The 15,229-nt window shown below is 41.0% G+C and overlaps 1 annotated feature.

Annotated features, from left to right (window-relative positions):
• Nucleotides 13,480-13,981: an enhancer, noted in NCBI's record as "NANOG hESC enhancer chr2:75211079-75211580 (GRCh37/hg19 assembly coordinates)". NCBI's record gives its function as "activates a minimal SCP1, AML or CMV promoter by ChIP-STARR-seq in primed H9 embryonic stem cells {active_cell/tissue: H9 hESC(primed)}" and the evidence as "EXISTENCE:reporter gene assay evidence [ECO:0000049][PMID:30033119]".

A 15,229-nucleotide genomic window follows, 5' to 3' on the forward strand; every position in this document is an offset into this window, starting at 1 on the left:
TATGTGCCACATTTTCTTAATCCAGTCTATCGTTGTTGGACATTTGGGTTGGTTCCAAGTCTTTGCTATTGTGAATAATGCCGCAATAAACATACGTGTGCATGTGTCTTTATAGCAGCATGATTTATAGTCCTTTGGGTATATGCGCAGTAATGGGATGGCTGGGTCAAATGGTATTTCCAGTTCTAGATCCCTGAGGAATCGCCACACTGACTTCCACAATGGTTGAACTAGTTTACAGTCCCACCAACAGTGTAAAAGTGTTCCTATTTCTCCACATCCTCTCCAGCACCTGTTGTTTCCTGACTTTTGAATGATTGCCATTCTAACTGGTGTGAAATGGTATCTCATTGTGGTTTTGATTTGCATTTCTCTGATGGCCAGTGATGGTGAGCATTTTTTCATGTGTTTTTTGGCTGCATAAATGTCTTCTTTTGAGAAGTGTCTGTTCATGTCCTTCGCCCACTTTTTGATGGGGTTGTTTGTTTTTTTCTTGTAAATTTGTTTGAGTTCATTGTAGATTCTGGATATTAGCCCTTTGTCAGATGAGTAGGTTGCAAAAATTTTCTCCCATTTTGTAGGTTGCCTGTTCACTCTGATGGTACTTTCTTTTGCTGTGCAGAACTCTTTAGTTTAATTAGATCCTATTTGTCAATTTTGGCTTTTGTTGCCATTGCTTTTGGTGTTTTAGACATGAAGTCCTTGCCCATGCAGAATGGTAATGCCTAGGTTTTCTTCTAGGGTTTTTGTGGTTTTAGGTCTAATGTTTAAGTCTTTAATCCATCTTGAATTGATTTTTGTATAAGGTGTAAGGAAGGGATCCAGTTTCAGCTTTCTACATATGGCTAGCCAGTTTTCCCAGCACCATTTATTAAATAGGGAATCCTTTCCCCATTGCTTGTTTTTCTCAGGTTTGTCAAAGATCAGATAGTTGTAGATATGCGGCGTTATTTCTGAGGGCTCTGTTCTGTTCCATTGATCTATATCTCTGTTTTGGTACCAGTACCATGCTGTTTTGGTTACTGTAGCCTTATAGTATAGTTTGAAGTCAGGTAGCGTGATGCCTCCAGCTTTGTTCTTTTGGCTTAGGATTGACTTGGCGATGCGGGCTCTTTTTTGGTTCCATATGAACTTTAAAGTAGTTTTTTCCAATTCTGTAAAGAAAGTCATTGGTAGCTTGATGGGGATGGCATTGAATCTGTAAATTACCTTGGGCGGTATGGCCATTTTCACAATACTGATTCTTCCTACCCATGAGCATGGAATGTTCTTCCATTTGTTTGTATCCTCTTTTATTTCCTTGACCAGTGGTTTGTAGTTCTCCTTGAAGAGGTCTTTCACATCCCTTGTAAGTTGGATTCTTAGGTATTTTATTCTCTTTGAAGCAATTGTGAATGGGAGTTCACTCATGATTTGGCTCTCTGTTTGTCTGTTGTTGGTGTATAAGAATGCTTGTGATTTTTGTACATTGATTTTGTATCCTGAGACTTTGCTGAAGTTGCTTATCAGCTTAAGGAGATTTTGGGCTGAGACAATGGGGTTTTCTAGATATACAATCATGTCATCTGCAAACAGGGACAATTTGACTTCCTCTTTTCCTAGCTGAATACCCTTTATTTCCTTCTCCTGCCTCATTGCCCTGGCCAGAACTTCCAACACTATGTTGAATAGGAGTGGTGAGAGAGGGCATCCCTGTCTTGTGCCAGTTTTCAAAGGGAATGCTTCCAGTTTTTGCCCATTCAGTATGCTATTGGCTGTGGGTTTGTCATAGATAGCTCTTATGATTTTGAGATACGTCCCATCAATACCTAATTTATTGAGAGTTTTTAGCATGAAGGGTTGTTGAATTTTGTCAAAGGCCTTTTCTGCATCTATTGAGATAATCATGTGGTTTTTGTCTTTGGTTCTGGTTATATGCTGGATTACATTTATTGATTTGCGTATATTGAACCAGCCTTGCATCCCAGGGATGAAGCCCACTTGATCATGGTGGATAAGCTTTTTGATGTGCTGCTGGATTCGGTTTGCCAGTATTTTATTGAGGATTTTTGCATCAATGTTCATCAGGGATATTGGTCTAAAATTCTCTTTTTTGGTTGTGTCTCTGCCTGGCTTTGGTATCAGGATGATGCTGGCCTCATCAAGTGAGTTAGGGAGGATTCCCTCTTTTTCTATTGATTGGAATAGTTTCAGAAGGAATGGTACCAGTTCCTCCTTGTACCTCTGGTTGAATTCAGCTGTGAATCCATCTGGTCCTGGACTCTTTTTGGTTGGTAAGCTATTGATTATTGCCACAATTTCAGCTCCTGTTATTGGTCTATTCAGAGATTCAACTTCTTCCTGGTTTAGTCTTGGGAGAGTGTATGTGTTGAGGAATTTATCCATTTCTTCTAGATCTTCTAGTTTATTTGCGTAGAGGTGTTTGTAGTATTCTCTGATGGTAGTTTGTATTTCTGTGGGATCGGTGGTGATATCCCCTTTATCATTTTTTATTGCGTCTATTTGATTCTTCTCTCTCTTTTTCTTTATTAGTCTTGCTAGCGGTCTATCAATTTTGTTGATCCTTTCAAAAAACCAGCTCCTGGATTCGTTAATTTTTTGAAGGGTTTTTTGTGTCTCTATTTCCTTCAGTTCTGCTCTGATCTTAGTTATTTCTTGCCTTCTGCTAGCTTTTGAATGTGTTTGCTCTTGCTTTTCTAGTTCTTTTAATTGTGATGTTAGGGTGTCAGTTTTGGATCTTTCCTGCTTTCTCTTGTGGGCATTTAGTGCTATAAATTTCCCTCTACACACTGCTTTGAATATGTCCCAGAGATTCTGGTATGTTGTGTCTTTGTTCTCGTTGGTTTCAAAGAACATCTTTATTTCTGCCTTCATTTCGTTATGTACCCAGTAGTCATTCAGGAGCAGGTTGTTCAGTTTCCATGTAGTTGAGCGGTTTTGAGTGAGATTCTTAATCCTGAGTTCTCGTTTCATTGCACTGTGATCTGAGAGATAGTTTGTTATAATTTCTGTTCTTTTACATTTGCTGAGGAGAGCTTTACTTCCAAGTATGTGGTCAATTTTGGAATAGGTGTGGTGTGGTGCTGAAAAAAATGTATATTCTGTTGATTTGGGGTGGAGGGTTCTGTAGATGTCTATTAGGTCTGCTTGGTGCAGAGCTGAGATCAATTCCTGGGTATCCTTGTTGACTTTCTGTCTCGTTGATCTGTCTAATGTTGACCATTTTCATATGAATGGAATCATGTAACAATGTGGTCTATTGTGTCTGGGTTTTTTCACTTTGATAATGTTTTTAAGGATTATCCATGCTATATAGCATCTACTAGTACCTCATTTTAAAAAATTGTGGTAAATTGTACATAAAGTAAAATTTACTTTTATAACAATTCTTAAGCATATAGTGGCATTAAGTACATTCACATTGTTGTGCAACTAACCCCATCATCTATCTCCAGAACTTTAAAAATCTTCCCAAGCTGAAACTTCATACTCATTAAATAATCATTCCTCATTCCCTACATCCTGCAGTCCCTGGCTAAATTTTGGTTTGGAGGAAAGGTGTGGGTGACATAACAGGAAGGAGGCAGAGTACCTAGAAAGTAGCAGTTAAGGAAAGCAGCAGGAAGCCTTGGACAGTGGTTCTCAAGTATTACTGGGTCATGGACCATTTTTAAAATAGTCCATGGGATTTGCTCCCTGGAATGATGCACAGATGTTCAGTACTGTCACATTTAAAAAATAAGCTTTATTTTGGAGTAATACTAGATTTGCAGAAGAGTTGCAAAGGTAGTAGAGAGAAGTCTTATATGCCCCTTACCTAGTTTCCCCATTGTTAACGACATTACCAAGTACATTTGTCACAACTGAGAAACTGACATTTATAGGTTACTGTTAACTACAGTCTATTTGGATTTCATCATTTTCTTCATTAATACTCCTTTTCTATTCCCAGATCCATGTTACTATATCACATTTACTTGTCATGTTGTCCCAGTCTTCACTGGTCTATGGCAGTTTCTTAGTCTTTCCTCATTTTTCATGACCTTGACAGCCTGAGTAGTGCTGGCTGGGTATTCTGTAGGATCTCCCTAACTGGGGATTGTCTTGTTTTTCTTGTAATTAGTTCTATAACGTTGCATATGATTTTGAGCATGAAACAGACCCCAGAGGCCCTTCTGTAGGCCTCCTATTATCATTGCCAATGGGAATTTAAAAGGACATCGTGGTCCGTTTTCAAGATAAACTCAGATTACAGTTTGCAGCTCAGTGGGGTATGAAATCAAAGTGTGTTGCCACTAGCATTTTGAAGTAGTAACAGTGTTGAATTTAGTAAAGGTAAGTGTTGTAATTGTTTCATTTACACGTGTGTACATTAGGTTATTGTGTAAAAAGTATATGGTGGGCAGAAGGGAGGCCCCCATCACCTTCACCTGCTGGTGTTATGCCCCTGAATGTGTTACATTACATGACAGATTTTGCAGGTATAAGTCATGTTACTAATCTGTTGACCTTCAAGTAGATTATCCTGGATTGTTTGTGCAGGCCCAGAGTAATTACGTGAGCTCTTAAAAACAGCTTTCCGCCAGCTGAGGGCGGAAGGGGCTGTCAGATTTAAGGCATGAAAAGGACAAGGCCTGTTGCTGGCTTTGAAGATGGAGGGGGGCATAAGGCAGGAAATGTGGGCAGATTTAGACACTGAGAGTGATGATCAGCAGTGAGGAAACAGCCTCAGTCTTACAACCACATGGAACGGAATTCTGCCGGTAGTCTGTCCAGTTGAATGTGGATTTTCCCCTCAAGCCTCCTCAGAACAGCCGGGCCAGCTGACACATTCTGACACATTTGCTTTGGCCTTGTGAAACCCCGAGCAGAGAATCTAGTTATGCCATACTGGACCTCTGGCCTGCAGAACTCTGAGGAAAATAAGTGTCTAAGGTGCTGAATTTGTGGTAAGTTATTATAGCAGCAATAGAAAACTAATATACTTCTCACTGAAAGTCAAGGTAAAAAAAAAATCAGGAATACTACTGTAGTGGAAAGGATCCTGGATGGGGTCCGGGAGACACTGGTTTTCATCCTGCTACTCATTATCTCCCATGATGTGTTAATCACTTACCCTTCCTGAGCTTTCTCTTACCAATTAAGTGGGTTATTTTAAAGTTTTTTCCACAGGACATATTTTTCTTTTGTGAACTTTATTTTTTTCAGCAAAATTTACCTATTTTAGTGTGCAGCTCTGAACATTAAATACCTAAAATCACCATCACAAGGTATAGAACAGTTACATCACCACAAAATTCCCTCATGCCACGCCTTTGTAGTCAACCCATCCCACCAATAATGTCTGTGGAAACCAGTAATCTATTGTCCCTGTGATTTTGCCACCTCCAGAATGTCATATAAATCAAATCACACAGTATGTAGCTTTTTGAGTCTGGCTTCAATTTAGCATAAGGCATTTAAGGTTCATCCATGTTGCATGCTATCAGTAGTATGTTCCTTTTTATTGTTGAATAGTGTTTTGTTGTATGGGATGTAAGTACCACAATCTGTTTATCTGCCAATTGAAGGGCATTTGAGACTTCCAGTTTTTAGTGATTATGAATAATGCTACTGTAACATTTGCATATAGGTTTTTGTGTGAACATCACTTTTTGTTGTCTCTTAGGTATATAGGAGTAGGATTGCTGGATCTTATTTAAGTGTATGTTTAATTATTAAAGAAAATGCCAACTATTTTCCAAAGCGGCTGTACCATTTTGTACTTATACCAGCAGTGTTTAAGAATTTCAGTTGTTTTGCATCCATGTCAGCAGTTGGTATTAAAAATTTTTGCCATTATAATAGGTGTGTAGGGGTATTTCAATGTGGTTTTAATTTGCATTTACCAGATATGTATTATGTAAATATTTTCTCCCAGTTCCACAAGACATTAAATTTTGAAAAAAATGCTATAAATGGTTCTTAGCTGCACTCAGCTCTGTTGGTGAGATGACTCAAATGAGGCACCTGTGCCTTCCAGGGGACTCCTCACTTTTCCACCTTTTGGTATAAGCCCCTGTGGAGAAGCAGGGCTTCCTTTGTGGTCACCAACTCCTGTGCCCTCCTCCTGCCTCAGTGTCTATCAGTCACGGGCTAATGGATCAGAAAGAGACCAGGCATTCCCAGTATATCTGACTGGGAGCACTAAAGCAGAATTTCCTGGTGGTAAAGATCATGCTTGGAGACGGGGAAAAGCAAGCTATTGAAATCTGATATTAACAGTGTGAAGGACTAATATTCAAAAAGAATCAGAGAACATTATGCTAAAAAGTAGAAAACTGTCCTATTTATTTATTTATTTATTTATTTTGAGATGGAGTCTTGCTCTGTCGCCCAGGCTGGAGTGCAGTGGGATGATCTCGGCTCACTGCAACCTCCGCCTCCTGGGTTCAAGTGATTCTCCTGCCTCAGCCTCCCAAGTACCTGGGATTACAGGCACGTGCCACCACACCCGGCTAATTTTTTATATTTTTGGTAGAGACAGGGTTTCACCATGTTGGCCAGGCTGGTCTCAAACTCCTGACCTCAAGTGATCCACCTGCCTTGGCCTCCCAAAGTGTTGGGATTACAGACATGAGCCACTGCGCTCGACCTAGGAAATTTAAAATGTGTTCCTGATTTCTTCATTGTATCTGAATCAGGGATCTGACATTCCTCATTCAAGGCTTCATATCTCTGGACATCTTAACACTTAAAGCATTTTTCTTTTTTTCCCCTAATTAGCTCAGAATGTTCTCTGTACCATCTTGTATTTTTTATACTGTTTAAAGTTTTGTGTTTCTTCTTCCTTCGTTTCCTGTAGGAAGCTAGTTTCCCTGATCAGATCTACAATATCTAGCTAACTTGGAATCTTCAAGAAAAATGGATGGTATGCTGTATGCATATCTGGATCAGGATGGTGAGGTAGATATGTCTCACAGTCTCTCTAATGCCTAATTTAATAAATGAGCAATCCCTGCCCCCCCCCCACCAAGTTCATACAAATTAGCAAAATATTTTGCCCCAGCAGTCAAGGAATGGGGCACGTTGCAGTGCCACAAACTTTAACAAGCAAATAAGGAATGACATGGAAGATTCTAGAATTGAGAGGAAGTGCATGACACAGAAAGGTTTCTAAACCCGTCTGCCAGAAGTCATAACTATAAGTCACCCAAATCTTGGAGAGTTTTTATACTCTCAGTCAGGAGGAAATTAAACCAAAGGGTTGGTAGCTTTTCCCTTTTCTGACTGTGGAGAAGTGGAAAGGGTTCCTGGGGAGAAATGGGTGAAGCAGATGGAGATGAACTCTTCAGTGGATGTGAGGGCTATAGGCTAAGCTAGAGGATGCATCTAGAGCTAAGGGGATGGAATGTAGCTCCAAGTAGGCGGAGTAAATCCTAGTACTGTGTGTTAAACCTCCAAGATGGCACACCTTCTAAGCTGAATCGTCCCTCTCCACTCACCATACCTTCAGGTCAGGTATATAGAAATACATAGAAGCGCCCTCAAACTGCAGCTCAGTTGAGAGCACAAATTGACCTCAGGTGTAGTGGAAAGTAAAGTGGCCAAGAAAATGGATGCCGGAGCCAGAATCCCTAGTTTCTTATCTGCTACTTAGGAGGCATTCGAGAAAGGAGACTCTGTGAGTCATATCCACTTCACCATTAAGAGATTAAGTTACGGCCGGGCGCGGTGGCTCACACCTGTAATCCCAGCACTTTGGGAGGCCGAGGCGGGCTGATCACGAGGTCGGGATATTGAGACCAGCCTGGCCAATATGGTGAAACCCCGTCTCTACTAAAAATACAAAAAATTAGCCGGGCGTGGTTGCGGGCGCCTGTAGTCCCAGCCACTCAGGAGGCTGAGGCAGGAGAATGGCGTGCACCCAGGAGGCGGAGCTTGCAGTGAGCCGAGATAGCGCCACTGCACTCCAGCCTGGGCGACAGAGCGAGACTCTGTGTCAAAAAAAAAAAAAAAAAAAAAAAAAAAAAAAAGATTAAGTTATTTAAACAAGTCACTTAATTTCTTTGTGCTGAAACTTTCTAATCTGTAAAATGGGAATAGTGATAATACCTCAGGATTCTTGTGAGGATTAAATGAGTTAATATATGGAAAGCTCTTAGAACAGCACCTGGCACATATTAAGTGCCATATAGTTGTGTCAGGTAATATTGTTATTATTATATCACAGCAAAATGGAAAGACTGCCCAAACATGAGCAGAGTGAAAAGAAATAGCACAACTATATAATAAGCAAGAGCAAAACCAAAAAGTGTCCAAAGGCAAGGAGCCCAGTCTAGAAGAAAGCATAGTCCAAGGTACAGAAGAAAATTCCTCCTGAGTGTTTGAATTACAGAATAGTAACATCATAAACTCAATGAAACGAGCCCAAAAGCTAACTAATACGTAAAGAAATGAAGGGGAGGTTGCAGACCTCACTTTTCATTGCCAGTCAATTTATATTCTCTAAAACGGAAACATGGTTTAAAAAAAAGCTTGAATTTCTTTTTTTTCTTTTTCTTTTTCTTTGTTTTTTTGAGACGGAGTCTCGCTCTGTCACCAGGCTGTAGTGCAGTGGCGCAATCTCAGCTCACTGCAACCTCTGCCTCCCGGGTTTAAGCGATTCTCCTGCCTCAGCCTCCCGAGTAGCTGGGATTACGGGCACACACCACTATGCCCAGCTAATTTTTGTATTTTTATTAGAGACGGCGTTTCACCATGTTGGCCAGAATGGTCTCAATCTCTTGAACTTGTGATCCACCCGCCTCGGCCTCCCGAAGTGCTGGGATTACAGGCATGAGCCACCATGCCTGACCTTAAAAATAGCTTGAATTTCTTAAATTTTTATAGTCTCTTAACCTTCAAGGAGTGTGTTCAGAAATCATTTTTCTTATGCCAAAGAAACATTCGAAGTCCAGCATAAAGTTCATTTTCACTTGGAGCTTTTCCTTCTGTTAAATTTTCTTCTAAAGGCAACTTTAGTATTTTGTAATTAAAATAGCAGGTGTTGTATTATTTTATGTAAGTATTTCTGTTTACCTGTCTGCTCATTCTACCCATCTTTCTCTCATGGAAGTATGTGTAAAGTGATTTTTACTTAATGATGGTTATTTCTAGGTGGTGCAATTTTTTTTAATCCTTTGTCTGTATTTTTTTCTGCATTGCTTAGTATATGATGCACATTGTTGTGTTGTGAGGAGGGACCAGAAGAACTAGGAGGAGATTGGAAAAACTTTGTGATACTAGGCTGGGACTAAACAGTAAATCTCTGAGCTGGCCCTGAGATTGCTTGTCCCAGTGTTGCCTATTGGTTTCCCAAGAGCGATAAAATCTCCCAATTTTCTGGAAGCCAGGTTACACTTTTTTTTCTCTGTGTTCTCTGGGACCTGGGAGGTGATAGCTCCTCTTGGACAATGATCTCTGTTCCAGTACAGGAGTTAGAGCCCCAAAGGCAACAAGGATCTCACTTGTAGAGTGCTACAATATGCCAGGCATTCTCATGATGCATTATTATTCCCACATCACAGAAGAGGAAGTAGGCTCAGAGATATTAAAAGAGTGAGCTTGAATGCTCACAAGTGCAACTTCCTCTTAAATGGTTCAGAATAAAAATTTCAGTGATAATATAGTATAGGTAATAAAGAGAGTGAGAAATTAAGTGGTGGAGCCTAGCCTGAACTGTAATTCCATGATTCCACCCCCCTCATTCTCTAGGAATGACCTGCATTCAGCCACAAATGTCTTCTAGGTTTTCTGCACAGACTGCATTGGGCCCAGATAGGTTGGAGAAAGTTGTCTTTTTGAGCCCCTAGCCTCATTGAAGAAGGCAGCATGCTGAGGCAGAAGGGGCATGGATTTGGAGTCAACAGACCTAAGTTAACTCTCACTCTGCTCTTTCCTAGCTGTTTAGCACTGGCAGGACACTCTGCTTTCTTGGTCCACTGTTTCTCTAAAACGAGGATGTAGACATGATAACGATAGAGGGTGTACTTGGAGCATCCATTGTTTTGGGCCCTGTGTTAAGCACTCGAGGTGCAAGATCTCATTTAAGTTTCCTGACAGCTCTGTGCAGAAGGTACTATTATCTCCATTGTACAAATGAGAAAACTGAGGCTTAGACCTAAGGTCACATAGGAATTAGGGTTAAAGCTGGGATTTGGATCCAGCCAATGTGATTCCAGGGCTTATTTTCAGCAAGCTACACTGCGATGGTCTCTAAGATCCCTGAAAGCTGTCAAAATGAGGTTTCCAGACACGAGTAGAACTGACTGTGTGGGTGGTGCTGTGAGGGCTTACCACAAGGCAATATTGGACCACCTCTTCAATCCTTCATTGGTGGCAGCCTGCTGGCCATACCTACTCCTTGATTTCTCTCCCCGGTTAGCAAATCACTTGAGGCCTTCAATTTAATTCCCTCTGAAGTCAGACTTCCTAAAAACAAAATCCACCCATTGTCCCAGATCTCCATTTCTCCATGGAGAGTTACAAACATACAGAACTGGATAGTGGCCAATAATTAATCATGCTAATGACATGTCCTCTTTAGAGAGTGTGTGCATGTAAGTGTAAATACCTTTGTGTGTCTTGTCCATCCTCACCTAAGCTTGTCCAAGGATGTGATGTACATGTTTTCATGTGTTAAAGACAACATTTGAAATGTTACTGCAATAAAACTAAACATCACCTATCCTATAAACTAGCAATTGCCTTAGGCACTTACTTAAGGAACATGAAAACATATATCCACTAAAAGAGTTATACATGGGCTGGGCACAGTGGCATGAACCTATAATCCCAGCACTTTGGGAGGCTGAGGCAGGAGGATCACTTGAGGCCAGGAGTTCGAGACCAGCCTGGGCAACATGGTGAAACCCCATTTCTACTAAAAATACAAAAATTAGCCAGGCATGGTGGCACTCACCTGTAATCCCAGCTACTTGGGAGAGAGCCTGTGAGGCTACAGGCAAGATGGAGTCAACCATGCCATATTTGTCTCACTGTTACAATCTTTGCAAGGGCGATTTCAAAATCAGGGTTAGGCTGTGATGATTTTAGAAATTTCCCTTGAGTTTTCTGAGAAATGACAATTACACTTTTCAACGGATTCTGGCCCAGAAGCCTCCCAGACTTTTTTCAAGCCACATACGGAGTTTAATACACAGAGTTCTCATGTATCATTCACTACAAGTTATCTGAACCTCAGAAATGTATTGTCCCTGCTTGAAAAATTTCTTGTAGTGCAAAGGAAATGTGTGAGCATCTGCTCAGAATACCATAATCAAGAGCCTTGTGCTCCGAATAATATGCTCTAGTATGCAAGCTGTGGTGGGCTCTCCCCAAGAATTTGGAACAAGAGGTAGGAAGATTGTCCCTTGAGAGTAGAACCTTAAAATAAAGCGATTCAGCCTCAGACTCAACTTGACCTGATCAAATATATCTAAAAGAAGGCATCAGTAGTAGGGGACACTGGTCAGTGATGAAAGTGAGGAAGGAGTCCCAGAGACAAATGTTGCTAGGGCCTGTTCTACACTACATGGGGTCACTAGAGCCTTAGTCAGTGCCTCTGTGTATAGTGCTATGGTCCCATTGGCAAGACAGACCTGTCAGCCTGTCCCATTCAGGTACCTTTAAACACTGCAATCATATATCCAACTTCCTTTGTTCTGAGCCCACCTTTTCCAAGCAACAGTTTGATGCTGACTTGGCTTCCCACGTAACTCTGTCTGTAGGGAGAGAAGGTGCTTGTTATGGGAAGTTGGACTATTTGCATTCACTGTGACATTGATTTTTCTTTGTGAATGAATGGGGCCATTTCTGGCTATGATTTTTCAATCCTTGTTGCTTCACTGTGGGGAGATGAGAGGATGTGGTGGCCATATTTACTTGGAATATTTCAGTCCTCGTGAGTGATTCCACTTGTAGATTGCTGACTCGCCAAGCCACGGACAAGCAAGGGATACGGGCAAGGAATATGTTCTTAGAAAATTCTATACTACCAGAAAACATATATGTTAAAAGAAAATTTCCCACAGGAAGTGATATAGGAAGGAATTGAGGCATTTTGGTCACTCATACTTGGGAGACTGCAGACTGCATTATGCCCATATTTATAAAATTCTATAAATATTTCGATGTTTCAGATGAGTTGGGGGAGGAAGAAAGAGAAAGGAAAAGCTGTAGAATCAGGAGGAGATGATCTGGCCTCATTGAGGGTGTGGGGCATCGTGGACCAGTTCCAAAATAATTGAAACACAAATGTCCAGTCTCAACACAAGACAGAGAGCACTGCCACTCACTGGCTGTTGTGCTGAATTACCTGGCAATGACAGGCACGGTTTTCTGTATTAGTGTAAAGATTAATTTGTTGTAACAAATATGCCTAGAACATACTGGCTTAAATAAAGTAGAAGTTTATTTCTCTTCCTTGTAACACTTCAACTGATCTAGACTAGCAGGGCAGCTCAGTTCCATGGGGTTATTCTGGGACCCAGGCTCTTTTCATCTTACTGCTTTGTCTTTCCTTACTATAGCACTGTCCAATAGAATTTTCTGTGATGATGGAAATGTTCTACATCCATGGTGTATAATATGACAGTCAGCAGCTACATCTGGCTATTGAGCAGTTGAAATGTGGCTAGTGTGACTGAACCAATGTGATTAGTTCAAAATAAAAATTGAACTAAAATTTTAATATTGATTTTAATTAATTTAAATGTAAATAGCTGCAGGTGGCTAGTGGTTACTGTACTTAAAAGAGCAACTCTAGATCAAAGGTGGGAGGTCTCCAAGTCTAGTTCTAGTTCATACGAAGAGGGAGGAGAGTGTTAGTAGGACAAGGTGCTTGTTTTTAAGTTGGCAATGACCCAGAAGTTGCACACATTATTTTAGTTCAAATCCCATTGACCACACTTAGTTAACTGGCCAATCCCTACTTCAAAAACAGCTAAGAAATACAGTATCTGGCCAGGAGGCCGTGTGCCCAGGTACAACTTTATTATTATGGTCAAGTGACAGATTTTAGTGGACATCCAGAAGCCTAAGCCACAGCATCTCATCTTTGCAACCCTTAACTGTATGACTGTGTAGAATGCTCATATGAGCATTTCTAAGCCTGCTTAATAATACCCATCACAATTTCATGAGGTTATTGTGGGGGTCCCATGAGATAACACTACTAAAACTCTCAGCACAGTGCTTGGCACATCATGTTCAGTCAACATTAGACATTGCTATCGTAGCTTTTCTTACCTATAATCTTGGCCTTCAGTAATGCATACTGAGCCTTCCAGACTTTCCTGTTCTGAGTGTGGGTTGCCTATGGTAACAAAAGCTCTAAATAAGTAATGAGGGCTATTTCAAAGACACATAAGGGAAACACCAGACATGTACATCAGACACTGAGCTTGGCTAATGAGAGTATGTTTCTGAGAAAAAGGTTCATTTTATGTGCTGACAATCCCAGGTTTCTCGGCCTGAGAAATACTCACTGAGATTATTAATGTTACCATGAAGGGGCTCTTTGGAGACAGCTGGAGAGCTGGACAGCCAAAGACAGACAACATGTCCCTTGCCCTCCCCACTCCCTAATAGAGTGCAGGATAGCAAAAGGAGAAAGACATGCTTTTAAAAAGATGTCTGTGCTGGTCAGCTTGTGATGTTTCTTGATGAGCCGATAATGAGCGCATCTCTACCTTATTAGAAAAGATAAATAGAGACTGACTAGGGCGCTGCAGGGCAGTGACAGCTGTAGAAATTATCTGCTCTCATCTCAGGGATGTCACACCAGTGTCACAAAACAGAGATCAACATTTAGCTTTTAAAATTACCTGAGTAAAGATAGTGAATTCACTAGAGACTGTCAATGCATTTTAAAGAAATGTGTCATTTCAGAATAAGCATCTGTGAAACTGTATTTCAAAACATTGTGTGACAGTATTTCTTATTTGTCTTACCTGCTAAAAAGAAACTTTGTGCCTTCTGTGTTTAGAAATAATAAAATACTAATCTGGTGAATGCTGGATGAAAATTTTAGGGATAATTTCTAGATTCCTCCTCTTTAAATTGTTACTATATGGCGCATGTTAAAAACGAAAGCTAAATTGGGTTTTTGTTTTCTCTTAATGTCCCTCATAATCATGAGTGACATGAAATACAGTGATTTCATGACATAGTTTGTAAAAGTGAGAAGGTCTGTAATTCAGAACAAGTATCCTAGTAGAGAAAAATGTCAGACATAACCGAAATGGGGAGAGAAGATTCCCAGGAGAGCTTGTGATCTACCGCTGAATAGACCTGTGGAGGATTTGACAAGGGAATTCCACTGCACTCAACTTTTGTAAAGGGCAAGATTTCTCCCAGGGTCTGATTCTCACAATTTTATATAGCTAGTGGTTTAGGAATGATGGTATAGTCAGTCCTGAAGGAAAGTATCTATTTAAGTTAGCCTTGAGAGCCAGGATTCAAAAGCTGGGGACAGATGGATGGAGGGTCCCCCTTCAGTTGAAGCTAGGAAAACACTACCCAGTATTTTAAAAGAGAATTTTGCATTTGTGAGACACTGAGAATAAACATGCTTGCTTCACAGCTGATGAAATCTCGTGGAGAAAAGACAGCTAAGGGATCATTCTAAAGGGAATGCAGTCCTCCTGTGACTGCCCTCAGGCCCTCGGATAAGGTCCAGACTGCTTAGTAAGACTTCAAAAAGTCTTTGTGATGGGACATTGCCCACCTTTCTATGCTGATTTTCCCCTCTCCCCTCCCTGTGCTTCAGCTGCTTTGGAGTTCCTGAGGAAGCCCTGGTCTGAGGCTTCACTGATGCTGTTCACCCTGCCTGGTGTACTTTCTGCCTCTTCTCCTCTCCCCTGTTTGCCTGCCTAACTCCTACTCACTGTTTAAGTCTGAGGCCAGGAAGGTTTTCCTGTCCACCCTCTAGAGGCAGGTAAATGCCCTTACTCTGGGATCCCATATCCCTCTCTCTTCCCATCACAGGGCTCGCCACACTGTTGAGTAATTGCCTGTTTCCCAGTCTGAGCCTCCCATTGGATGGCCAGCTCCATTAGGGAATGATGGGGTCTGTCTGTTTTGTCATTACAGCCTCAGTGTCCCCACTCAGGGTCTGCTGTAAGACAAATAGAAGATTGATCTCAAAAATCTCATTAAGATGTTTTTGGTTTAAAAGAGTAGTAGGTAAATCTATGATTACTATGGA

Source organism: Homo sapiens, chromosome 2 (assembly GCF_000001405.40).
Source record: "Homo sapiens chromosome 2, GRCh38.p14 Primary Assembly".
Taxonomy (NCBI): Eukaryota; Metazoa; Chordata; class Mammalia; order Primates; family Hominidae; genus Homo; species Homo sapiens.